Genomic DNA, 26,160 nt, shown 5'->3' with positions numbered 1-26,160 from the left:
AACATGAGAAACAACATGATAGCCACACTATTCAAACTGTTCCAAGTGGCACAGGAGCATCACTTGCCCAGTACCTGGTGCTCAGTCTGCTTGAAGAATCACTCCAGAACATACAATACTGACTCTCTTTTTCCCAAGCCCACCACCTTCTGGTTCAAGTTTGGGGCTGGCACTAAATGCTTACCACATGGCACCGGTCAGGTCAGAATCTCCAAAACACAAATGAATTGTCTCTCAGGTGACTTTAAATGGTGGAATTGATCACATGATTCACCTGCAAGTTTCATTTAACTTTGAGTATTGCCTATAACCCTGATTTTTAAAAATCTCATTATAAATATGAATAATAACATATATCTGTGATGCCTTCATATAATTATTTTAATAAATATTAATTCAGCTTTGCCTTCTATCAAATAAATAGCATTATTCCCACATTATTGATAAGTCAGGAGACAGGAAAAGGGAATGCCCGCTGAAAGTATTATAGCACCAGGTAAAACATAACTCTTCTTTAGTTTTTAACAGGCACTAGGAAACATCAGCAAAAGAGACTGAAGTTTTTTAAATAAAAAATGCTTGTCCATCTTTTCCTAACTGACAGTCATCCATGATTATCACTCTTAACATCTTCAGCTTAAACCCATTTCTCCTGCAACAATGGTATCATTATCCTTCTGTAGTATCTATATCTTTACACTACAAGCTACAAGAAAGAATATTAAAGATGCTGCTGAATATATTTATATAAATCGAGCAGCTTTCTTGAATTAGTCATTGGAAGGTGGTTAGTATTATCTGGTAAAATGTTTATTTTTGATGAAGAGGCACAGCTAACATAGGCACTTACTTTAAAATAAGACTTTTTTTAAACCAGGCAAGACCCATATTGAATCAGATTTTGATGGTCCAGTGAAGTTCTTAAAATTACTTTCTGTGTTGAAGCAAATGTAGAGATTGATGAAACTCTATAGAAAAGGTTTGGTGTTTCATTTTAAAAATGTAAGATATATGAAATGCATGAATGTTATTATCTATAGAGACATATGTATGTCAACAGACACTTTCCCAGACCCATAAAGCTCACCTTCTACTTCTTCTTCATCACACACATGCTTGAGGAAGGAAGCCCCTCTGTCCAGGACAGCTTCATCCTCCATCCTATAGTAATAAAAAAGAAAAAAAGAATGCTCAGACTTCTCCTGGAGCGAGCCACTTGGAGCAGCCCAGCTTCTGGGCAGGTTAACCTGCAAGCTGTTGTTCATGTTAGCAGGGCAGAGTCACTCTTCTTCTGGTGTCTGCTACTGCTTCACGCAGCTCCTCTCATCTGGTGCTCGAGAATATGCCGGTCCCACATAGCTTCAGTTCTAACCTTGAGAGGGCACCCACATAGACAGGTAAGAGAAAATAATCCCAATCCTGTAGGCAGGATGTTGGGGGCTCTCCCCTTTAGGGTTTTAAAATTCTTTTTAAAAAGGATGAAAGCAAAAAAAAAAAAAAAATACCAAGAGAGGAAGTTTGGTGTGTCTGGAGTGCTCGTGATGATCGTTTGTGGAAATCCAGCTTCAGTGCTTAGCTCTTTAAACACCCACTGCATAAAATGTATACCCTCACACACACACACATGCACACCCACCCACACGCAGAGAGCGACAGGGAGGTAGGCTAGTGCACAGTGGGAGCCTAGCTTCCAGCCAGCCTCTTAATATCAGCACAGCCCAGTATTCTCTGTTGAGTGGCAAGCTTTGAGTCACATGCTGGCCTTACGGAAATCTGACATCTGAGGATTATCCAGCAACCCGGCTTCGACAATACACACAGATACATGCCACCCATTCATTCATTTTCCACATTCTTATCACACATCTTTCTCTATGTATATCTGCCCTGTTAACTCTTCCCTGAAGGGCACAAAGTTCTTCATTTTGTAACCACATTATGCTGTCCTCCTGTCTCCTTACATAATAGGATCTACTCTGCAATTTCATATGCTAAATAAGACCTCAGAATCCATCCAAGGAATGACAGCGTTTTTAGGGCCTCCCGATGCCAAACACGCTTCTAGTTTATAGAATGAGTTAAGGTTTATTTCCATATTCTGCAGCTCCTTTTCATTGCATTAACTTTGATATACAGAATTCCATGAGGTCTATTTATAGTGAAAGCAGAAAGAAATCCTGAATTGCTCAAATGCTGCTTGTGTAGTACCAGTCTAGAAACAAAGAACTTTCTCTGGGGACAGCTGCTCTATGTCATACCGTACATGAGCCCTGCCAGAGAACCAAATGTTCATTCTGTATTCTATTCATCCAATTATATGCTCAGGCATTGAATATTGTAGGTCTGTTTTCCATATTGTCTGTATAACTTATTCTTGTGCTTCAGATATTTGTTATAATCTATGCGGATGTGCATTGAATTCATATTTTTGTCCTTACTATTTTAGAAGCATATCCATCTCACAAAGCAACCATCATAACATAAAAAGTGAGAAATTTGGTGTCAGGTAGCCCCCGGTTTAAGAAATCTAGCTCTACCACTGAACAAGTGTGCTACCTGGAGCAAAGTTTTTAGCTTTTTTAAGTCTCAGTTTTTCCATCTATAAAACTGGGGTAATAATATCAACCTTGCATTGACTCAACACAATAATATCAACCATGCATTGATGGCTTTGAGATTCAAATTAGGTAACATACCTAAAAGCACACAGTGCAGGACTCAGCACATACTACATGTTTAATTACTGTAAATTTCCTTCCTTTCTGCTTCCTTCCTTTTCACCCTGACCAGTCAATGGTGGACAATAGCATTAAGAAACTCATTACCTCTGGACACTTGCAAGATTTCTTCTTTCAATAATATCGGCCTTGTATATAATAGCCCATCCTGATATACATCATTTTCCTTCTCTATACTCAAACTAAAAATAGAAAACTGAATGCAAGCAGGATATGGGTTGGCCATCAAGATTCTGGTGGAAAAGAAAATTCCTTGAAGATTTGAGGCCGGCCGTGGTGGCTCACACCTGTAATCCCGGCACCTGTAATCCCTCGGCAGGCCAAGGCAGGCAGATCACTTGAGGTCAGGAGTTGGAGACAAGCCTGACTAACACAGTGAAACCCCGTCTCCACTAAAAATACAAAAATTAGCAGGCACGGTGGCACACGCCTGTAATCCCAGCTCCTCGGGAGGCTGAGGCAGGAGGATAACTTGAACCCAGGAAGCAGAGGTTGCAGTGAGCCGAGATAGCGCCACTGCACTCCAGCCTGGGCGAAAGAGTGAGACTCCGTCTCAAAAAAAAGAAAAGACTTAAGAAGTCAAGTCATTTACCAACTTCTCTAAGCCCCTGGTTCCCATGAGGATTAAATGATAAAGTATATTCACTGGTTCAGCAAATATTTATTTAGTGCCTGCTATGTTCCTCATACTCTTCAGAGAGAGGGAAATATATCTGTGAATCAGAGAAACAAAGTTCGCAAGAATTAATACTGAATAGATGAACAAGGTAATCTCAGATAGCATTAAGCACTTTGTGGAAAATAAAATGAGGCAGGGACTGCTTGGCACAGGGTGGTTCACATGAGGCTTCTGGATGACAACTGAGCAGAGACAAAAATGACAGGAAGGAATCAGTACTGTGAATATTTGCAGGTAATGTGTTCCAAGCAAAGGGAACAGCAAGTACAAAGGCTCTAAGGTGAAGACAAGTTTAGGATGTTGCAGGAACAGAAACAAAGTTAGTACAGCTGGACAGGGCTAGAAGGTCAACTTTAGGAGATGATATTGATTGGGCCACAAAACCAGGGTAAGGAGTCAGAATTTTAGGTGTTACGGGAGCCAATGAAGAGTTCTAAAATGGAGAGTGACTTGAACTGTTTTTCATTTTTAAAAGATTACCCTGGCTGCTATGTGAAAAATGGACAGTAAGGGGACAAGAGAAATTAAGAAAATATTGAAGGAGCCAGGGGAAGGCTATGGGAGAAACAAGTTGTTGGGGAACAAATCAAGAGTTCTATTTAGCCACTTTAAGAATAAGATGCTTATTACACATGAAAAATGAGCCATCGGACATACAAGTAGATGTCTGAGTCTGGAGCTCAGAGGCTCAGGATTAGAGATAAAAATTAGGAAACCAATGAATAAAGCTGGTACCTGAAGCTATTACTGGATGAGATCATCCAGGAAGAAAATGTAAAAATCAAGGAGTGGACCTAAGACCAAGTGCTGAGGCATGCCAACATTTACAAGCAGAGCAGAGGAACAAAAACAGTCAATGAGGTAAGAATCCAGGCAAGAGTGATGTCAAGGAAGTGACAAAAGGAGAGTACTGCTACCGAGTGGCTGAGAAAGATGGAAAGAGATGTAAAAAGCACTTTGGTCATGATCACCAATGTCTTCTAATTGCCAAATATAATTTTTACATACCACACACAGTAGCAGACACAGAGGAGGCATTCAGTAGTTCTCTTTTCTCTTTCCTGCATTCATTCATTCAGTAAATATTTACTGGATGCTACTACTATGTTGCAGGCACAAGCCAAGGCACTAGAGTTACAGTGAGCAAGACAGACAAGGTGCCTAATGCAATCACATCCACCTTCTCAAAGATTACCCTTAGCAATCCAGGCAAATAAGTTCAAAAGACAAGAACCCATCCATTACACATTTGTAGACATAGATAAGGATGACAGTTTAATGAGGAAATTTTCTTAAAAGACCTCAGAAGCACAACAAAATCCTGAAGCCCTGTGCTACTGCACGTACATTAATAGTGCCAGCTCCCCTTTAGAAAAAAGAGTGGTTTAGCTCACATTAACCCTTTCCAGTCCTATCAGAACTAACCCTTTCCAACCTATAGAGTCCAACACAATTTCATGTGGAACATCATTTCTGCACCCCACTATTAATCGAACTGGTCCTAAAGTCTTTTGTTGCCTTTTTTTCAAATTTCCTAACTAAAATGTTTAGCCTTGTGCCTAAGCCATTCCCAAAATTGCATGTAACAACCAAAGAAGTAAAAGAAGAAAAGCTGACACAGTGGCTCAGCCTGTAATCTCAATGCTTTGGGAGGCCGAGTGGGAGGATTGCTTGAGGCCAGGAGTTCCAGACCAGCCTGGGCAACATAGCAAGACCCATCTCTGAAATTTTTTTTTCCAAATTAGCTATGTGCAGTGGTGTGCACCTGTTGTCCCAGCTACGTGGGAGGCTGAGATAGGAGGACTGCTTGATCCCAGAAGTTCAAGACTTCAGTGAGCTATGATTAGGCCACTGCATTCCAGTCTGGGTAACACAGTGAATTCTCATCTCTAAAAGAAAAAAGAAAAACAGAAACAAAGAGAAAATAAAAACCAGCAAAAACTGGAGGGGATAGTAGAAAAGTTCAGAAAAACCCTCTTCCTAGGCTGAGAAAACCATCCAGCCTAACTGAGGCACTGTCACTATGTTCCATCTGAATTAGAGAGAGAGAATAATGATTGGTGCATTCCTTGGCTCTTTGATGCATATTTCACATTCCCTCCAAGACTATACATAGCAAGTAATTAGAAACTTCGTTCTTTCTGACAGACAATGCAGAGCATCTCAAAGCAGCCTCTTCCCTGTAGGAAGCAAAAAGAGGTGAGTGAGGCAAATGGAAAATATAAAACCTGTACACCCACAGCAGCCTTTCTCCAGAGCAGCCCTCACTCCTCCTTAGAAGTAAGTCCAGCCTGGTGCACCTAGGCTTCTGCACAAAATACAGGAATTCAGCACCTTTTCTTCATCTTTACACCACAAATGTCAATTATTTGGGTTCGTGTCCCTCCCCACCGCAAATCCTCTCAGCAGTTGCTTGCTATTATTAGTAAGACAGAGATATCTTTTAAAATAACCATCTGACCCAACTAGTTCCTCCTTCTATCAATAGGAAGAAATTAACTCATCCAGTCCTTAATCAGGCCCTCAAACCCATTCTTAAAAGTTCCTTTCACACAACCTGCATTCGCTGAAAACAAAGAAAGGGAAGAACATGTTTCTAAAAAGCTCCCTGGGTTGCTCACATCACCAGCATGAGGCAAAGTTCAGAATAGATTTGGAAGCTTCTCACCAGCATCACGGGGATAAGGGTCACACCAGTCAGTATAAAATCCACTCAGGGCCAATAATGCCTTCCTTCAGCCAGGCCTCTGACCGTACAAGTTATACCCTTTCTACAGAAGTCCACACCCAAAGCAAGGTTTTTCTTATTCTCTGTTATTCTGGGACACCACAATGATTTAACTGTAACACATGTCATATCTACTGCCAAAAGGACCGGCTTTCACCAGCCGGTCCTAATCACTGAGCAGGCTCGTAAGGGTGACTTAAGCCCAGCATGAGAAACATTTGTGCAAAACTGTCAGCCATTGGGTCTTGAGCACCCATCTACATTCCACCCCTCTAAGTTCCCACCCCCAGAGCCCATGCCAACTGCCAACGTGCTCACCAGCTAGTCCGCACAGCGCAAGCAGCTGCCACTCAGCCAGTCAGCACGTGGCAGGCCGCCAGCACACAAGTTTCAGAATGCAAGCCTGCCCCGTCACAGTGCTGCTAAAGGTTGAAGGTCTTGGAGTGTGCTAGCCTTTAGATTCGCCTTACTTGCCCTCCCACCTCCCTTCTCCCATCCCTCCCCTGTTACGCCTCCCACTGTAGCATTTCACTTGTCTCTATAGTAACAGCATCTGCTTTCAGGGTTAAAACTTTACACAGCACATTTCTCCTCCTAGCCCAAGCTTTTGCCAAAGGATGCAGTAGCAAAAAGCCTGCTGCTTTACCGTGAAGCCACCTGTTTCCCTGCCACCCAGGATTGCAGCTACTTTGTAAACTGTAGGATGAAAGCGACTGCGGTACTGAGCTCAGGGGAAGTGAAACAGAGCCTCCAACCTTGACACACTGGCTGGTGTGTAGAGGATCCACTCCGGAGCTTGTATACCCAATCCCAGAGCTAGCCCACTCTCTTCCACAGCCTGCTCTGCACTTAACGATGCTGCACATGGATCAAGTTCATAGCAGGGCTTTTTGATTCCATCCCAAAAGGCATCGGGGATGGCACCCTAGAGAGCAGCAGGGCACCAGTGTTTAACATGCCCATACCAGAGTTTAATATCACTGGTTCTCTCCGTGCATGCAGCTTAAAGTTTATTAGCTAATCTTGTATTTCAACTCATCCCACTTTATCCTCACCAGCTTGGTCTGTTTATGACATCCGGTGAACCCCATAATCTCTCACTTCACACAGCTTTCTGGTGCATAGCCAATGTTTAAACAGTTCTTTACACACATGCCCACAGACGCACACCAAAGTGACGCACACAGGGGAGTGACCAATGCTAGCAAGTGAAGAGTTTTATTATTAGCCATTTTTGCCATGAAAACTAAGTGTATACAAGGGCCTTTACTTGAGGACTGCAGTCTCAGAGTTCAAAAGCAGGCCTGTTACTTGGCTAATCTTGGATCAGATGAAAGACAAAAATCAGCATTTCACAGGTCTTTTTCAGGAGCTATACAGAATATAACAATCAGTACTGACACCTAAAATTATACACTCATACACACATTTCTGAGTTCTATTCCCTATTCAAATCATGTTTAAGAAGTGGGGGACTATTTCCATTATAAACCATTTGCAAACGTGATTTTTTTTTCATGATTCTAAACTTCACAGCATTTTATTGGTGCTTTTGTTGTTTTGTAAAATCTGCTCTGCACATTTTCAACATACACATAAAGAACAAGACACAATTCTCTAAGCCCCAGGCGACAGGGAAGAGCGATCTCAGTGGCTGCAAAGTGCACTGCCATCTTTTGGCAACATGTGTTCACTACAGGGAACCAAAGGGCAAGAAAAAGCTGCAACCATTCCTTTTAAAATTTCACAGGGGCTGGGAAAAAAAAAAAAAAAAAAAAACTTCGCAGGGGCTCTAAGAAGGCCTTTCATTCCCACAGGAAGTAAGACAGAACACAGTTGCTGACTTAACTATGCAGACCGCTGGAGCTCTGGACATCCATACTGGGGGAAAGGGACATCGGTGCGGCAAAACTGACAAGCATGACTGATAGCAGTGATGACTCCCGGAGATCAGCCAGCAACAAAGCGAAGCAAATCTCCTTCCCAGAGCTCAGGAGCACCCTAATCAGCCTGGAAATTTACACAGGCCCAGGGCCAGAGGGAAATAGGTGAGAGCCCCACACAAAATCAGACTGAGAGAACTGGATAAAAGGTGAAAATGCAACCCAGAGCAAGATCACGCCAAATCTAATTCTGGATTTATGAACTGTATTAAAAGTTCATTTGTACTCTTGGGCACTTATCCCAGAGAAATAAAAACTTACGTTCACCCAAAAACCTGTACATGAATGTTTACAGCAGCTTTAAGTATAGTAGAAAAGTCCAGAATTAATCCACATGTCTTTCAACAGGAGAGTGGTTAAACTATGGTACATCCATACCATGAAATACTGCTTAGCAAGAAAAATGAACAAACTATTGATACACACACCAAATTGAATGAATTTCCAGGGGGTTATGCTGAGTGAGAAAAGCTCATCCCAAAAGGTTACAAACTACATTATACAATTTATATGGAGTGACAAAATTTTAGAAATGAAGGACAGATTTAGGACAGATTCATGTTTGCCAGGGGTTAAAGATGGAGGTATTTGTTGTTAACAAGGGTAACACGAGGGACCCCTGTGGTTGGCTCTATTCAGTATCTTATCTGTGGATACATGGATCAACATAGGTGATAAAATCGTATAGAACTTAATACAGACAGAGAAGAGAGAGAGAGAAATTAGTACAAGTAAAACAGGAAATGTGAATAAAGTTTGGTGAATTGTATCAGTGCCAATATGCTGGTTATGACATTATACTACCTCTTTGTAAAATGTTAACCTTGGGAAAATCTGGCAAAGTGGAGCTTTTCTGCACCAGTAACCTCTCTGTATAATTTCTCAAATACGCATTTGAATCTACAATTACCTCAATAAAATTTTCAATTTAAAAAAGCTCATTTGTAACTCTGTTTTTTAATTTCCCCTAGAAACATTATTCTACATGGTGGTCAGGTACAATCAGCTGGTCCACCAACACACATGCAGAATCAGGCAAAACTGAATACAAAATCCCAGATGCACACTTTGTGTGTAAGCTTAGAAAGTTAACTAACCTCTCACTTCAGTGTCTTTTAAAATGAGCTTATACCACTTCAGAAGTTAGTTTAGGGAATTAAATAATTTCCTAAATAAATCCAACCAGTTTCAGTTAAGTCAAATATAAAGTTCCTAGGGCCCAGAGAATAGAGTATTAATACTCCTACAGACCCAGAGGTCATGATTCTGTCTCATGAGCAAATGCACGGGATTTTTGACTGGGGAGACCACAGATAAACTGTCCCTCAAACTATTAGGATCAAACTCTCCCTTTCCATCTTCTCCATGCTAGGGCTAAGTCTCCTAAACTCTGTCTTCAGATTGTTGATTGACTTCTGAAAGGCTGGAGCAGGCTCAGCAACAAAGGGCAAGAAAATAATTGATAGGAGAATGGAGACTCTGGGGTGAGAAAAGGCTCAGAGACCAGGGAAGGTGAAAGATGAAGGGAGAAAGTGCTGTGGGGGAGGGTATGAAGTGCTGAAAGGAGGACTTCATTCATGACTCCTCAGGACATTCCCTGACTTAGCCTACACTCACACTCACATGCTCCTTAATATTTTTAATGGACCATTTCACGTGCTTCCACAAAGACCGTGTGCTGCTTCTGACCAGAGTTCCATTGTAGAATACAGTAGTCTCCTTCCTCTGTCAGAAACCAAATACTTTGTCCTTCCAACATTTTCTCAGAGGTTTTACCGTTACAGACAGGAAAAAGAAGCTCCCTTCTAAACTCTTTTAGCTTTCAATCACCCTTCTTCAAGGCTTCTTGTGTGAAAATCAGAAAGGTCCTAAGACAGGAATCAGGCAAGATGAAATGGCTGGGCTCCTCCATATGACACACCAGCACAGAGGATGGCGACGGGCATGTTTATCCTCTGTCCCCTCCTCCCCACCACCATCAGCTCTTCAACCAAGAGCCAGACCCAAACCAGCAGCAGAATAAGGAAAGAAGAGCAAAGGGAAGAAGGGATGATACCCCACAGGACAATCACGGGAAAGGGAATATCTACAGCTGAAAGCCCACCCTGCAAGGCAGCTGTTAGTCAGTGGATGCCCCAAAATGCTCAGGTTTGATGTGAGTGTAGGATGGCTGGATTCCCATCTGCCTTCTCACCAGTGGTTTCTCTCTGGGCTCCCTGGATCTGAACTCATTCCCCTCTAAGCCATCCATTTATAAAACACACTTTGGTATCTCTCCTTTTAAAGTGCCTTCAGTGTTTCTTCATTACATGGAAGATGAAATCCAACTTGCTTAACATGAAACGTAAGCTCAGGTCCTACCATCCCCATGCCATACACCCTGAACCGTCCACCACACCTTCGTGTACATGCTATTTCCTCTAATTAATATATCATCTTAGTTAACCCATTCTTCAAAACCCAACTTAAGATCCAACCTCTCCAGAAGCCTCTCTACATTATCAGACATACCCTTCCCTGAGCAGAGCTATGCTCCTTCCTCTGTTCTCCATTGGCTTCCTGAATGTGCCTGCTTCTCATATAGCACGTTACAATGCATTGTCATTATAACTTATCATCACTCAACTGTACTTGGGCATGTCATGGCTCTTGTCCCCACCACATTATGAGCTCTTTGAGAGCAAATACTGTCTTTCTGAAGTTTTTCTACCTCTAGTATCAAGCATAGTCACTACACATAGTCTACTAACTATGTGTAGTGACTATGTGTAGTGACTATGAATGAATCAATTAATCAATTGATTCAGTGACTATGAATCAATCCATCAGTCAATCAACCAGTTAGAAATAGGCACAGTGAGGGCACATGCATGTTTGGTATTAAGTGGATCTGTAAGTCTAAAGGCCCTGAATGTGTATTTCAAACAACATAAACCCCATAAACAAGCAAATTTCCAATTACTTAGCCTGTTATTCAACTGAAGAAATAGTGATTTGTTCCAAAGAAAGGGGGGAAAATGGCTGTGCTATACTCCCTGAAGAGTATTATGTTTATGGTTGAATTAAGGGATTTTTCAAGCATATTTTTAACTATATAATTTTCTCTTTATAGACTAACATTAGATCTTAGCTCTCCACACAGACTATAACTATACTCTCAAATGTAGGGGTCAAATTAAATTCAAATGAGAATTTCCCCTTGTCTGCTAAAAAAGAAATTAAGAGGTACCTGGACCTGCCACATATTTGATTCTAAATAAAAGTTTGTTCCACGAACAGAATAATGAATGAACTTAAAAATAAATCACACCATAAACTACTTTAAATAGCCAGAAGCAAAGCCTGGCACAGTGGCATATGCCTAAAGTCCCAGCTACTAGGAAGGCTGAGGTGGGAAGACTGCTTGAGCCCAGGAGCTTTGAGGCTGTAGTGCGTTACAATCGTGCCTGTGAATAGCCACTGCACTCCGGCCTATGCAACATAGTGAGATCTATCTCTAAAAAAAAATAATAAATACCCAGAAGCAGCAGGAAAGTTATAAGAAAGTTCAATTTTGCTCATCAGGCCTGCAACTGGACAAATAAAACTCTGTAATGTGTTTAGGTAAACCTATAAAGAAGCTGGATGGCAGCTACCTGCAAATAAAATTAGGATTCAAAATGTCAATATAAGCCTTAAGCTCTAGAAATTGTAGCTTAGTTTTATGTTTATACACAGTCAGTGATAAATTATTTGTAGTAATTAGCACGGCAATAGCATGAATAACTAAAATCGTCAGTTAATTCATATTCATTGTAGTCTGTGACTTTTGCACATTTACTGTGGATTTCACAGTGATCTCAGATCAGATGCAGATTGGCAGGCAGATGGGGACTCAAGAGCAGGAGTTTGTTCCAGGACACAGGGCTGGGAGTCAGCTCCATGGCACCTGATCATGTACAGCCCCCTGACCCACCCACCTCTGACACACACAGCTGACATTGGAGAAGATGCCTTCTGAAACGGGTTTAGGCAAACCTTCCTACCTCTACCCAACATGGCAACCACAGTGTTCACATCTCCCATCCTGAACCACCACCCAGCTGGCAGGGATGAGGCTCCTGAAATTTTATTAAGTTCTTGCTACATGTCAGTCAGTGTGCTAAGCAACATACATGCATTATTTCCTTCTGGATGCCATCTTATTTTATCTGACTCAGTAACAGGGAAAGAACTGAAGGTTCTAGCTAAAGGATGTCAATACCTATAACAATGTAGGAACTGAGATTAGGGACTTTCATTATCTTTTTTTTTTTTTTAAACGGAGTCTTGTTCTGTCACCCAGGCTGGAGTGCAGTGGTACGATCTCAGCTCACCGCAACCTCCACCTCCTGGGTTCAAACGATTCTCCTGCCTCAGCCTCCCAAGTAGCTGGGATTACAGGCATGCGCCACCATGCCCAGCTAACTTGTGTATTTTTAGTAGAGATGGGGTTTCACCATGTTGGCCAGGCTGGTCTCCAACTACTGACCTCAGGTGATCCACCCACCCAGGCCTCCCAAAGTGCTGGGATTACAGGCGTGAGCCACCGCACCTGGCCCATTATCTATTAATTTTTTCAGTCACATTTTAAATACTTACTACTTGCCAAGTACTAAGCTAAATACTTCGTGATGATTATTTAATTCAATCTTCATGACAATGCCATGAGGTAGGGACTTTTCACACACCCACTTTAAAGTTCTAATTTTGAAGTTAAATAATTTGCCCAAAATCACACAGTACATGTGATGAGAAGACCAGGCATGCAGACTAATTTAGCAGTCCACAATTTTAACCACTCTACTATACTCTTTCATAATTAACTAATCAATGCCCACCAAGGATTATCTTCAAGAATATTTCTTCATACATATATGCCTTCTTATAATTTCAAATTACATCACTTACCTCTTTCCCCACTTTGGTGTGCCTACTGGCCAAAGACCGGAGCATCCTGTAGCAATCCCCCCCAAATCAATGTCTTTATTTTTATTTAGCAAACACTTAGGTAGTGCTTACTATGTCTTAGTTACTATTGTAATTGCTTTACAAATATTATTAGCTCATTTAATACAACAATCCCATGAGATTTGTACTGTTTTTATCACCATCATATCTGAAATACAGAGAAATTAAGTCACATTCCCAAAAAAAACCACATGGCTATAACTGTTGATGTCAGGATTCAAACCCAGGAGGACTAGCTCCAAAATCTGTTCTCTTACCCACTCAATGTCAAGCTGCCTCTTTTTAGCCAATTCGACTGATCTGTTAAAACTCTCCAAATATCTTGGGGAGTCTTGAGCTCTGGCAGTTGAGGAACAAGAGCGGGAGGAGGAAGTCAGGACCAACACCTACAGTGGGTCAGTGTTCGCAGGACCAGGTTGTGGATGAGATGGGCTGTGAGGATTCAGGCTCTTGGGAAGGGACTGAGAGGATCAGGCTCAGAGAAGAAGTGGCTGTAGGGACCCGGGCTCCAGACGGGACTTAGGGAACGGCTATGGATGTGAGTTCTCCAGTATCTGAGGGAAATCTGTCTGGGAGGAACAGGATTGTGAGAGCCCGCATTCCTAAGAGGAGAGGACCGGAAAGGAATGAGGTGTGAAGACACGGGCTCCGGAGAGGTAAAAATGGGGCAGTGAGGACCTGGGCTCCTAAGTGGCAGAAGAGGAACAGTGAAGATCCGGGCTCCTAAGGATCAGAAACGGGGCCACGAAGACTCAGGTTCCTGAGGGGCAGAAGCAGACTGAGAAAATCTGAGTTCGGAAGGGAACAGAAGCGGGCAGTGAAGACGGGCTTCTGTGGGAATGGGATCTGGGCTTTGAGACTCCGAGTTCATGAGTCTCGGAACAGGGCTGTGAGGACCCGAGCTCCTAAAAGCATTGGATCTAAGGGACCATGGATGTGAGATCACCCTACAAAGGAAAGGGAAATGGCGGCCTACTTGGCTTTGGGCAGGCTTTTCTTGTGCCAGATACTCAATCTAGGAGGCCCACATGCAAGCATCTTCATTTTCTGCTTCATTCTTGGGAATCAGATGTAAAGTTGAAAATAGTTTGAACTGTTTGAACTCAGTTATATACTTGATAAGTTCTTTAAATCCCATTCCACTCAACCCTGATTGAGCACAGATCTCTGCATCTCAAATAAAAGAATGTCAGTGCAGGCCGGGCACGGTGGCTCACGCCTGTAAAACCAGCACTTTGGGAGGCCGAGGCAGGCAGATCACGAGGTCAGGAAATTGAGACCACGGTGAAAACCCGTCTCTGCTAAAAATACAAAAAATTAGACAGGCGCGGGGGTGGGTGCCTGTAGTCCCAGCTACCCGGGAGGCTGAGGCAGGAGAATGGCCTGAACCCAGGAGGTGGAGCTTGCAGTGAGCTGAGATCGCGCCACTGCACTCCAGCCTGGGCGACAGAGGGAGGCTTGGTCTCAGAAAAAAAAAAAAAGAGTATCAGTGCAAAACAAAAACAAAAATAAAAACTCTAGGAACCTGGGATCACAAATATTAAACAGACCTTTAGTGAAAGAGTAGACTCACTGAATAATTAAAGAGTATACAGACCCTTGACATTCATGAACATCCCCTCCCCAGGCCCATTTTGCAAATTCCCCAATTCACAAGTATCACACAGCATCTAATTTCCATCTGCCAGCTCAGCCTCGGCTCACCACTTGGCCACATGGTTGTCCACCAAAGCACAAACCCACTACATGGTATGACCCTCTAGGGCTGCTAGCAAATAGTTGAAATCACAATTGTTAAATTCACACATGCCAAGGAACTACTGTATCAAAAGCCAGAAGAGTGCATCACTCACCACGTGGGCTGCACTACTAAGCAGAAAAACAACTTTTATCTCATAAACTTTATGAGCACAGTTCACTATTACAAGAACATTGAAGACATTTCTCTAGTCTGTGTTCCCTTATTAAAATGTCTCTTTCCACAATGCTGTTCAAAGTTTATCCTTCATTTTTCCCAAGAAATCTCTCAGTGTACACTTGTGATCTAATTTTCCAAAGTTTAATTCATTTACTCATTCATTTATTCAATTTATTGAGTGTCTGCTATGACTAGGCATTATTCTAGGCACGAAGGATGAATCCATGGTGGGAAATAGACAATACCCAAAATTTAAAAATCGTTGCATAATGTGTTAAAAGTTGATACTACAATGGAAAAATGTAAGCAAGGAAGAGATTTAGGGAATGCTGGTTAAACTGGGTAGTGGTGCAGTTTTAAATAGGTAGTTAAGAAAGGCCTCAACGAGTGATAGTTGATCAAAGATTGAAAAGGGTAAGGAAGTGAGACTTGCAGTTATGTGAGAGAACAGCAAATGCAAAGGCCCTGAGGCAGGAAATAGCCAGGAAGATTACTGGAACATCAAGGAGGCCAGTAGGTGGTGCAGAGTGAGTCAGGAGGGCTGGAGATAAAATCAGAGAGGTGAAGGTAAAGGAGAGGCAGGCTGCTTTGGGTCTGGAAGGCTACTGTATGAAGGGCTTTAGTGCTTACTCTGAACAACTAGAAAGCCACTGGATGGTCTAAGCAATAGAGTGATACTTCCTCGAGCTTATAGTCTTTACCTAAGTCTCTGTCATTATATAAACATTTCCATTAAGGTGCTTCCTGAAACCTGCTTAGAAGGTCTTTCTGGGGCCACAACTAGTGTAGCACAGAGGTTACAGGTGGGGTCTGCTGGATCAGAATCCTACAGCACCATGTCAGAACTTGACCCAATCCTCTGCAGATCCAAAAATGAATCAACACACCTTAGGAGACTTCATCCCGAGGGTTCAGAGCCTTGACCTTGACTTCTGCCTTGTGAAGGTGCTGAGCAATGTTTCAGTGCTCATGACAAAGGCCAATCTGCATTAACTTGTTAATATAATCTTTATCAACTTCTGCCAAACTAGCTCCAAAGTTCATGACTCAAGTTGTTGCCACTTGAAACCTCGCCTACCTAAATCTGCCCCAGGGATGGCAACACGTAGTGCTAGAAGATGCCAAAGCAGATGATTAATATGTGGATATCATGAGAATAGCATAGAGCTTATTGTTGGTGTTTTTTTTTAACACCCACGATTCAAATTGATACCTTAAATAAAAAAGGAATACATTTAAAGTTGTTTTAAACTATGAGTTTTCTGATTCCATGGTTACACTGACTGCACTTTGGGGGAAAATGCCCTGAGCTTGTCATCCTTTGCCATAAGAATGACATCCCGTGTTTGGTTCTAGCCACTTGTTTGTACAAACAGGAGTGGTCCACATTGTGGAAGGACGTTACATCCCAATTTAAAAACACTGTCCTTCACAGTGGAAAGCAGTAAGGTGATCCTCAAAGAGTTAAAAGCAGAACTATCTACCATTCAACCCAGCAATTCCATTACTCGGTATATACCCAGAGGAATATAAATCATTCTACCATAAAGACGTATGCACATGAATGTTCACTGCAGCACTATTCACAATAGCAAAGACATGGAATCAACCTAAATGCCCGTTAATGACACTGGATAAAGAAAGGGTGGTACCAATATACCATGGAATGCTATGCAGCCATGAAAAAGAACAAGATCATGTATTTTGCAGGAACATGGATGCAGCTGGAGGCTATTATCCTCAGCAAACTAACCCAGGAACAGAAAACCAAATACTGCATGTTCTCACTTGTAAGTGGGAGCTAAATGACAAGAACTTATGAACACAAAGAAGGAAATAACAGACACTGGGGTCTACTTTAGCGGGGAGTGTGGAAGGAGGGAGAGGAGCAGAAAAGACAACTATTGGGTACTGGGCTTAATACATGGGTGATGAAATAATACGTGCAACAAACTCCCATGACATGCGTTTACCTATGTAACAAACCTTCACATGTACCCCCAAAACCTAAAATAAAAGTTAAAAAAAATAAATAAAATAAAATAAAAACACTCTCCTTAACTCTGAGAGAAAAAAGACACCCATAAGACATAACTATCTAATGTGACACATGGGTTGAGATGCTAATTCAAACAAATCAACTGTTTAAAAAACTATTTTGAGACAATCAAGAAAGCTTGGATATTAATTGGGTATTAGACGGTACTAAGGAATTATTATTAATTGTATTAGGTATGATAATGGTGGTGAGGTTATATATATTTTTAATGTCTTTAGAGGCATATGTCAGAGATGTTGCAGGTTCGGTTCCACTCCACCACAATAAAACAAATATCACAATAAAGCGAGTCACATGAAATTTTTGTTTCCCAATGCATATAAAAGTTACGTTTATACTACACTGTTGTCTATTGTGTGCAATAGCATTATGTCTAAAAAATGCACATACCTTAATTTTAAAATTCTGTATTGCTAAAAAATGCTAACAATCACCAGAGCTTTCACCAAGTTGTAATTTTTTGCTAGTGGAAGGTCTTGCCTCAACTCTGATGGACAATAAAGTTTGCCTCATCAATTGATTCTTCCTTTCACAAAGTATTTCTTTGTTGCATGCATTGCTGTTGAACAGCATTTTACCCACAGTAGAACTTTTTCCAAAATTGGAGTCAATCCTCTCAAACCGTGCTGCTACTTTATCGACTAGGTTTATGTAATATTCTGAATCCCAATCCTTTGTTGTCATGTCAACAATGTTCACAGCATCTTCACCAGGAGCAGATTCGATCTCAAGAAATCACTTTCTTTGCTCATCCATGAGAAGTGACTCCCCATCCATTCAAGTTTGTCATGAGGTTGTAACAATTCAGTCACTTCTTCAGGCTCCACTTCTAATTCTAGTTCTCTTGCTATGTCCATCACTTCTGCAGTTACTTTCTCCATCGAAGTAATGAATCAAAATCACCCATAAGGATTAGAATCAACTTCCTCTTAAACTTCTGTTTCTGTAGATATTTTGGCATCCTCCCATGAATCATAAATGTTTTTAATGGCATCTAGAATGGTAAATCCTTTTCAGAAGGTTTTCAATTTACTTTGCCCAGACCCATCAGAGAAATCACTATTTATGACAGCTATTGCCTTACAAAATGTGTTTTTAAATATAAGACTTGAAAGTCGAAATTACTCCTTGATCCATGAGCTGCAGAATGAAAGTTATTTTAGCACACATAAAAACCACCATTCATCTCCTTGTACCTCTTTATCAGAGCTTTTGGGTAACCAGGCACTTTGTCAATAAGCAGCAAAATTTTGAAAGTAGGTCTCAACGGTGAGCTTAAAATATTCAGTAAATCATGCTATAAACAGATGTACTGTTATCTAGGCTGTGCTGTTCCATCTTCAGAGCATAGGCAGAGGAGATTTAGCATAAATCTTAAGGGTTGTTTTCACTTTCTTGTCATTGGTGTATTCACTGGAGTAGCACTTCTAATTTTCTTCAAGCACTTTTCCTTTGCATTCACAACTTAACTAACGATTGCGGCAAGAGGCCTAACTCTTGACCTATCTTGGCTTTTGAGATGCCTTCCTCACTAAGCTTAATCATTTCTAGCTTTTAACTTAAAGTGAGAGACGTGCTACTCTTCCTTTCACTTGAACACTTAGAGGCTCTTGTGATGTTTCTGCAGAAAAGTGAGCTTCCCTGTGATCCTAGAAGAATAAAAACTCTCCAAAAACTAATACAGTCCCTTGTATTACTAGACATTGATGGGATACAAGGGAAAAGAAGAAGAAGGATGTTCCCAGTGACAGCATAGTCCCTTCTTGCCAAACACAGGATACCTATTTTTCCCAAGGAAGTAATATTACATTTGTTGCTTAGGTTCCAAGGCCAACTCACAAAGTTCAATTTTCTGAAAATGTGGCCAAATTATAGAAATAATAATAAAATTTAATATAATAAGTGCTTTATATGAATTATTTAAGCTTGACTACTCGTCAATGAAATAGCTGCTACTATTATCATCCCCCTTTTACAGATGATAAAACTGAGATTTAAAGATGCAAGCAAGTTGTCAAGTTCACACAGCTACTAAGTGATACAACCCATATAGATTATTAGCTCACAGTATCAAAATTACTAATAATATTATAGTGCTAATAGTACTGTTTTAGGTATATTATGGGTGAAATAGATTTGTACGGATTTGAATGGGTCTGGAACACTAAGCACCATTCTAATATTGCTTTCTACAGTGAAATACATTTTGAGTTTCAAACAACTAAATAATAAATATAAAGTGATGGCATTCCAAAATTAAGTTGGAAGCAGCACACGTATTTGTTTAGAAAGGTCATCAAACAAGTGACTGAAATTAGAGCATAAATACCAGTGTTACCTCTAATAGATAATCACAAATAAAATTAACCATAACCAGTTGAGACAAACCAACTCTAAGAAGAAATTACATACGCATGTTGTCTAAGGTAACTTTTTGCATTTGCTTTTCTCATTATCTCAAAACTCCATTATTTGGATAAACACAGACCTCTGAAGACCAAAGTAAAACATCACTCACTTCTTAAAGAGCTGTTCAGTATCATGACATCTCCCTTCTGGAGATTTGGGACTTGCTTATGAACTATTACCTACTTGGATCACTTTACATGCCACTATTAAAAAAGAAAGAATTATTTCTTCTTGTAAATATCAGAAGAAAAGTCCCATTGCCAAGAAGAGTCTTAGAAAAAGCAAAGATCACTTTCCCTACACTCTCCATTTGTTTTAACTTTCACAGTCCCCCCAGCTCACTAGCTTCAGCCAAAGCCAAAAAGGAAGAAAAGCCAAAAGCAGTGCATGTCAGACTGTCACTACCACATTCCAGCCTTGATGAAGACCTCAGAGTCTGTTTTGTAAGTCTTCCTGCCTCTGCTTCCAGTTCTATAAAAACCAACAGTCAATCAGGAAATGCCAGCTAAGTACATATGATGCCACTCTTATACCAAATAGAAGTGATGACCAGCTGAGAGTTTCCTATTTCTGTTACAGTCATAGAATCATTTTTGTTTACAATGGTCTTTGAAAAGCAACCATATAATAAGCATCTACAGATAAAAACTACTCTCTAAGCTACATAAATGCCATTTCGTTGTTGGTGGTTTGTTTTTGTTTTTGTTTTTTGAGATGGAGTCTCACTCTGTCACCCAGGCTGGAGTGCAGTGACACGATCTCAGCTCATGACAATCTCCACCTCCCAGGTTCAAGCAATTCTCCTGTCTCAGCCTCCCAAATAGCTGGGATTACAGGCACACACCACCACACCCAGCTAATATTTTGTATTTGTAGAAACGGGGTTTCACCATGTTGGCCACGCTGGTCACAAACTCCTGACCTCAGGATCGCCCACCTCAGCCTCCCAAAGTGCTGGGATTACAGGCGTGAGCCACCACACCCAGCCCATAACTGCCATTTTGTTAGTACCCAAATCATTTATTGCTCCATTATACTGCTGATTTGCACTGTTTTATCATTAGAGCTGACAGCCCATTCATTAGTAGAAACATATTATTCAGTCTCAGTAAGGATTAAATTGCTTTAAAAAAAAACTTTAATGTCAAAGCAAATCTAAAGTGGTATTTCTTGCTCAATTCTTATTCTCCACATCTTGTCCCACTCACACAGTTTCTTTAAAACAAAATTAGTAAAGAATTTTTATAAAGTGAATGTAATTCAAGTTACCAACTCTCTAAGCCTCCATTTTCTCATCTGAAAAATGGACTTAGTAATACCCACATTGTTCAGTTGTGGAGAAGCTATGGGATAACAGACACAAAAGCACCCTGCGTGGTAGATACTTAGCATAGAGCAGGTAGACAAGGCACGTAGCTAGTATTGTCATGCCGCAAGTCCTTAATTTCTCCCAGACAGGCACAAGTTCATAAAGGTCAAATTGCTGCCACCTGGCACAAGTTTATGACGGTCACATTACTAGCAACTGGCGGAGAGAGAATTCAAACCCAGCTCTGACTCCAATGCTCCATGCCATGCTCCCTCCTCAGCATGGAGCAGGAGGGATAACCAGATAGCCTTCCAAAGTCTTTTCTAAGCTTATTAGTTCCAAGGTGGAAGCCAAAAATAAAGGATAAGAGGAGCTTCCCTCTTTTGAACCTTGCAGGGAATCAAGGAAAGAAATCATCAAGCATGTGCCTCTTGATATATCAGAGGTCAAATTTCTCAACTTGTTGATAATAGTCAGAGGACTAACTGGGCACATGGCTGAGGCATGGAAATGGGCCAGCTGGGCATTTTTGAAAGGTGGTCACCCTGGGAAATACAGACCTGTTTGTGTAATGTTTTTGACAAGAATAAAACTTAAAAATGACCCCAAATGCCAATTTTTAAAAATCAGAATAAAAGAAACATTAAAAATAGAAGTGACAGAGGAATGAAAGCAAGAAAAAAATGTTATTTCAGTTAACACATCTTTGGTAAGAACTAATTTTCTGAAATGAATGGTTTCTTAAATAGAAATGATAGCTGGGAGTTGTGGCTCACGCCTGTAATCCCAGCACATTGGGGGGCCAAGGTGGGTGGATCACTTGAGGCCAGGAGTTCGAGACCAGCATGGCCAACATGGTGAAACCCCGTCTCTACTAAAAATACAAAAGTTAGCCAGGCCTGGTGGTGCACGCCTGTAATCCCAGCTTCTTGGGAGGCTGAGACAGGAGAATTGCTTGAATCCGGGGTGGGGGCGGAAGATGCAATTAGCCAAGATCACGCCACTGCACTCCAGCCTGGGCGACAGAGCAAGACTCCATCTCAAAAAAAAAAAAAAAAAAATAGAAATGACAAAGTTGGTAGACAAGCAATAATAATTTATTTTGTTCGGTAAAACAACTGACTCTGTACAATGCATTACAGAATTATCAATAATGATAATTATATGTATCGTTTGTTGAGCACCCACTGTTTGCTAGCCCCTTTGGGACGGTTCACTTGTGATCATCACGGCAGCACACACCCAGTAGTTACCACTAGCTCCACTTTACATAGGATGAAACACAGTCCCATAATCATAAAGTTAATGTCCTGAGGTTACAGAGTCTAAAAGGGAAGAGATGGAAATTCACACTTAGATCTGTCTGACTCTAAAACCCATGCTCTCCTTACTGAATGTGAAAGTGCCTGGCACAGGGTTCATTTGACACTGCCACCCTCCTTATGAACCTGGGAAAGGAACGAGGTGGATGGAGCCTTCCTGGAGGATCAGACCCTTCCTGGAGGATCAGTGGAAGAGCATCACCTTCTCCTCAAGAATCAAATGAATAGTGCTTGAAATGGTGAAACTGAGAGTAGAGTATTATTTGAAATGAGTGCTATTATGACAATAAGGTGTTTTGAAAGCATAACCATCTGCACCTTGGACAGGACCAGAACACAAAGTTCTTAGTAAAACAAAACAAGAAAAAAGCAGTCAGGAGCGAATTAATAAATTCAGGGGAAATAAAGAAACCCAGCTGTGATGTTTTAGTCTACCCTGTACTATCAACAAGATTGAGGAGAGGACAGAAGGATGGACTAAATGACATTTGTGATCCAACATTTGTGATACCGTTGTAATAGCATAGGGTATTACTTTGAAGATACTCAAAGAGTTACACACAATTTATTTATTCTCTCAGCATGCCTAGTTGCTAATAAGATAAGTAACATATTGACTCTGGGTTAGAGATCAGATAATTCAGACAAAAAGTCCTAAGCACACTAGGAAATCACAGCAAAAGCAAAATCATAACCCAAGTTGCCAGTATAGAATGCATAAAGCTGCATAATGCATAAAGCTACTACTGCATCAACTGTGAATCCTCATGGTTCTAAACCAGGGTTGGAGTAAGTTTCAAGTGGGTGGAGATGCCCCTCACTCCTGGGAGCTGCCAGGCAGGGCCAGGCAGAGCCCAAGCCCCAGGCCAAAAGATGTCCAGACTGTTTACCCAGTGTACCATGCAAATATTATTATTTACTGAGCACTCTGTGACATGAAAAAGATTCAGAAACATTAGTAAATAAATCTATTATTTCACCAACTTTCTTTTTTTGCTCAGATCATGTGCCTTATTGAATCAATTTAAGTACACAGCAAAAAATAAACACAGAACTCAACAAAACAAAATCAAAAGCCCGCAAGAGTAAAGATATGGGACAGTTTTATGTACGTAGGATAGGGTACGAGTGGTGGCGGGACCACATCCCTGACTTCTGGGTTATATACAAGGGTCATATATCCTGTCTCTCTGCCCCATCAGCCTTTGCCATGATGATGCGTTTATGGAAAACAGAATTGAGATCACCAACTTTCTTGATCAGGAAATGCTAACATGTACCTGGAAATCCTAGAAAATCCACAATGTAACTGAAGTTGCTTTAATTATCATTCCCTTTCAAACCTCTTCCCTCCCTACAGGGCCATTAGCCAGCGTCATCCTAGGCTGAGGATGACACACTTCTGAAGTGTTGTATACGGGGCTGTGTAAACCAAGTTAGGAGGCCACAGCTGGGAGCACTTCTATACCCCTCGGTACAGGATCAGTTCATGCCAAAGGTGTAGCCTGTGCACAGTTCAGTTCTCCACACAAAACCCCAGTACATCTGGGTACCTGGGGGCCATGTCAAGAAAAATGATTGGGATGCTAAGTGGCCAACTGAACAAGCATAAAAATATTGCAAGGGAGCAGCCTACGTAGGGTGTAGAGAACAGGGAGTGTCTTGTCAGCTCAGGCTGCTATAACACAACATCATAGACTGGGTGGCTTAAAGAACAGACATTTATTTCTCACAATTCTGAAGACTTGGACGTCCAAGATCCAGGTGCTAGCTGATTCCGTTCCTGGTGAGACCTTCCTTTCTGGCTTGCAGAAGGCCACCTTCTTACCATGTCCTCCCATGGCCAAAAAGAGATCATCTCTCGCATGTCTCTTCTTACAGGGGCACTAATCCCATTGATGAGGGCTCCACCCTCATAACCTAATTACCTCCCAAAGGTCTTACTTCCAAATATCATCGTACTGGAAATTAGGGCTTCAACTTATGACTCTGGGTGGGGGTCAGGGTGGATACAGACATTCAGTCCATATCAGGGAGATTTTCTTCTCACCTTTTCATCTTTTACTCTATCAATATACATCAAGGTGCACAATCATAATGACAGCCACAGAAATGACTCTTAATAAAGAGCAATTAGTATGCCATGAAAACTCAGTACTCCAGTAAGATCAAATTGTGTGGTGACAAAAGAGTCCCCTGCTTTCAAGCCCACCAGCCTGAAAGCAGAGCTTTCTTGTGTTTTAGTCTCAAAAATAAGAACAGAGGCTTCTCTATGTCTGCTTTACCAGCTCCTTGTAACATGTCAAGAGTGGCACTCATGAGCCAATACTTTATGAGGTAAAATCCAGCATTATTTCTAGTAATGACAATAAAGGAAGGGACAAACAGATGCAAATCAGCAACACCCTGTATGCAGGAAAATACAGAATTCTGAGTTATCATCAGGTCTTATGCAGTCATGCATTGGTAAATGACAGGAAACATTCCAAGAAATGCATCGTTTGTCAATTTTGTCATTGTGTGAACATCAGAGAGGTTCTCACACAAACCTAGATGGTACAGCCTCTTACACACCTAGGCTATGTGGTATAACCTATTGCTCCTAATCTACAAACCCATACAGCACATGACTGTACTGAATACTGTAGGCAATTATAATACAATAGTAAGTACTTGTGTATCTAAACATAGAAAATGTACAGTAAAAATACAATAATATAAATTTATGGGACTGCTGTCATATATGTGGCCCATCATTGACCAAAACATCGTTATGCAAGGAATGACTGTATTTACTTCTCTCACCTTTGGACACTTTCCCCCAGCAACAGAGGAGCTTTAGCCTCATGGTAATCACTCTGCTCAGCTCCCTAGTACCTATCCCATGCCAGTTTATTTAATGTGACCTGGCCTACCCAAAACTAAACCTGCTACCCTATTCACACACACACGTGCACACACACAAACGCGTGCACACAGGAAATGTCATTGCCATTGTGGAATATGGCCCACCTCATCTCATTCATCTAGTCTCAACCTTCCCCTCACACTTTCATATCCCATGGTTCTCCAACCCCATTGTGCCTCTGTCCTGTGGATTCCAACTCTGGTCTTAGTGACCATCTGGTTTTTCTCATTTCTGGTGAGCCCCTCTGACAGCAGGTCAGCACTGGTATTCACCCTCTGCTCCCAGCAAGGGCAACCCCCACCTTCTGCCCAGCTCCAGAGGCCTGGGCCTCTTCCTGGCTACTCTCCCAGTCAGACATAATTCTGCCTAGATCCATTCCTGATCCTGAGGATTCAACACAGGATGGTGACTACATTAAAACTAACCCCGAATCTAACCAAGTGAGAAACCTAAGCTCAGTGAACAGCCCATTAGAGAAAAAGCCAGAGGGTTCCAAACCCCAGAATAGTAACAATAGAGATAAAGAACTCAAAATTTTAGGGGAAAATTAGACAATTTTAAAATTAGACCTAAATTATTCTTTCAGACAGAAGACAGAAAGCTGGAATGACTCTTTGAGGGCAGACACACTTGTACAAGCCAAGGCTGGAAGGTTAGATTTTCTTAGATGGCATCTTAGTTGTCTTCACACACAACCAGTGAGACATCCTCACAGTTGGCTGGCTTCCTTGGTGAGGGAGCACTGCAATCATCACATCCGTGAATTTGGTTGTAAATCTTACAAACCCTGTCTTAGGTAATTCTAAAAAAAATCCCTGGTTTTTAGCGTCTAATTTTCCTTCGCTGCAAGAGCCAAAGTTCATTTTTGCACAACTCCAGGCCTGACAGTCATCACCATGTGGCTTTGATAAGCTCCATAAAGCATTATAAGCTGTTCACACACAAAAAAAAAAAAAAAAAAAACAGATAAATTCAAGTGACACTATTACTAATGTGTTTACTCTCAACTTATGGGGGACATGACTTTAAATTGTCAAATGTTCCATCTTCTTAGCAATAAAGATTTGTGAAAAATCTGTCCACCAAATTAGGGCAGAGCTCCAACACTTCAGGTTTTTGCTCAGATTCATTGGGGAGCTGTTAAACATACCCACATTT

At 41.3% G+C, this 26,160-nt stretch overlaps 1 protein-coding gene across 8 annotated transcripts in view; it reads right to left on the bottom strand.

Moving 5' to 3' along the window:
* The window catches only part of SLC4A4 (solute carrier family 4 member 4), a 509,424-nt gene that overhangs the window by 334,347 nt on the left and 148,917 nt on the right, over window positions 1–26,160 (bottom strand). For 4 of the 8 annotated variants that reach the window (XM_024454268.2, NM_001440628.1, NM_001134742.2 and 1 more), the window contains one exon: window positions 1,088–1,161. In XM_024454268.2, the coding sequence (XP_024310036.1) occupies window positions 1,088–1,161 (74 nt within the window). Of the gene's footprint in view, window positions 1–1,087; window positions 1,162–1,505; window positions 1,678–6,085; window positions 6,211–6,463; window positions 7,903–12,455; window positions 12,461–26,160 lie in introns of those variants that run through there. The other 4 variants (XM_024454270.2, XM_024454272.2, XM_024454271.2 and 1 more) reach the window with 4 other exon arrangements.

Source organism: Homo sapiens, chromosome 4 (genome assembly GCF_000001405.40).
Source record: "Homo sapiens chromosome 4, GRCh38.p14 Primary Assembly".
NCBI classification, from domain to species: Eukaryota; Metazoa; Chordata; class Mammalia; order Primates; family Hominidae; genus Homo; species Homo sapiens.
This window is presented reverse-complemented; position numbering and strand designations above follow the sequence as displayed.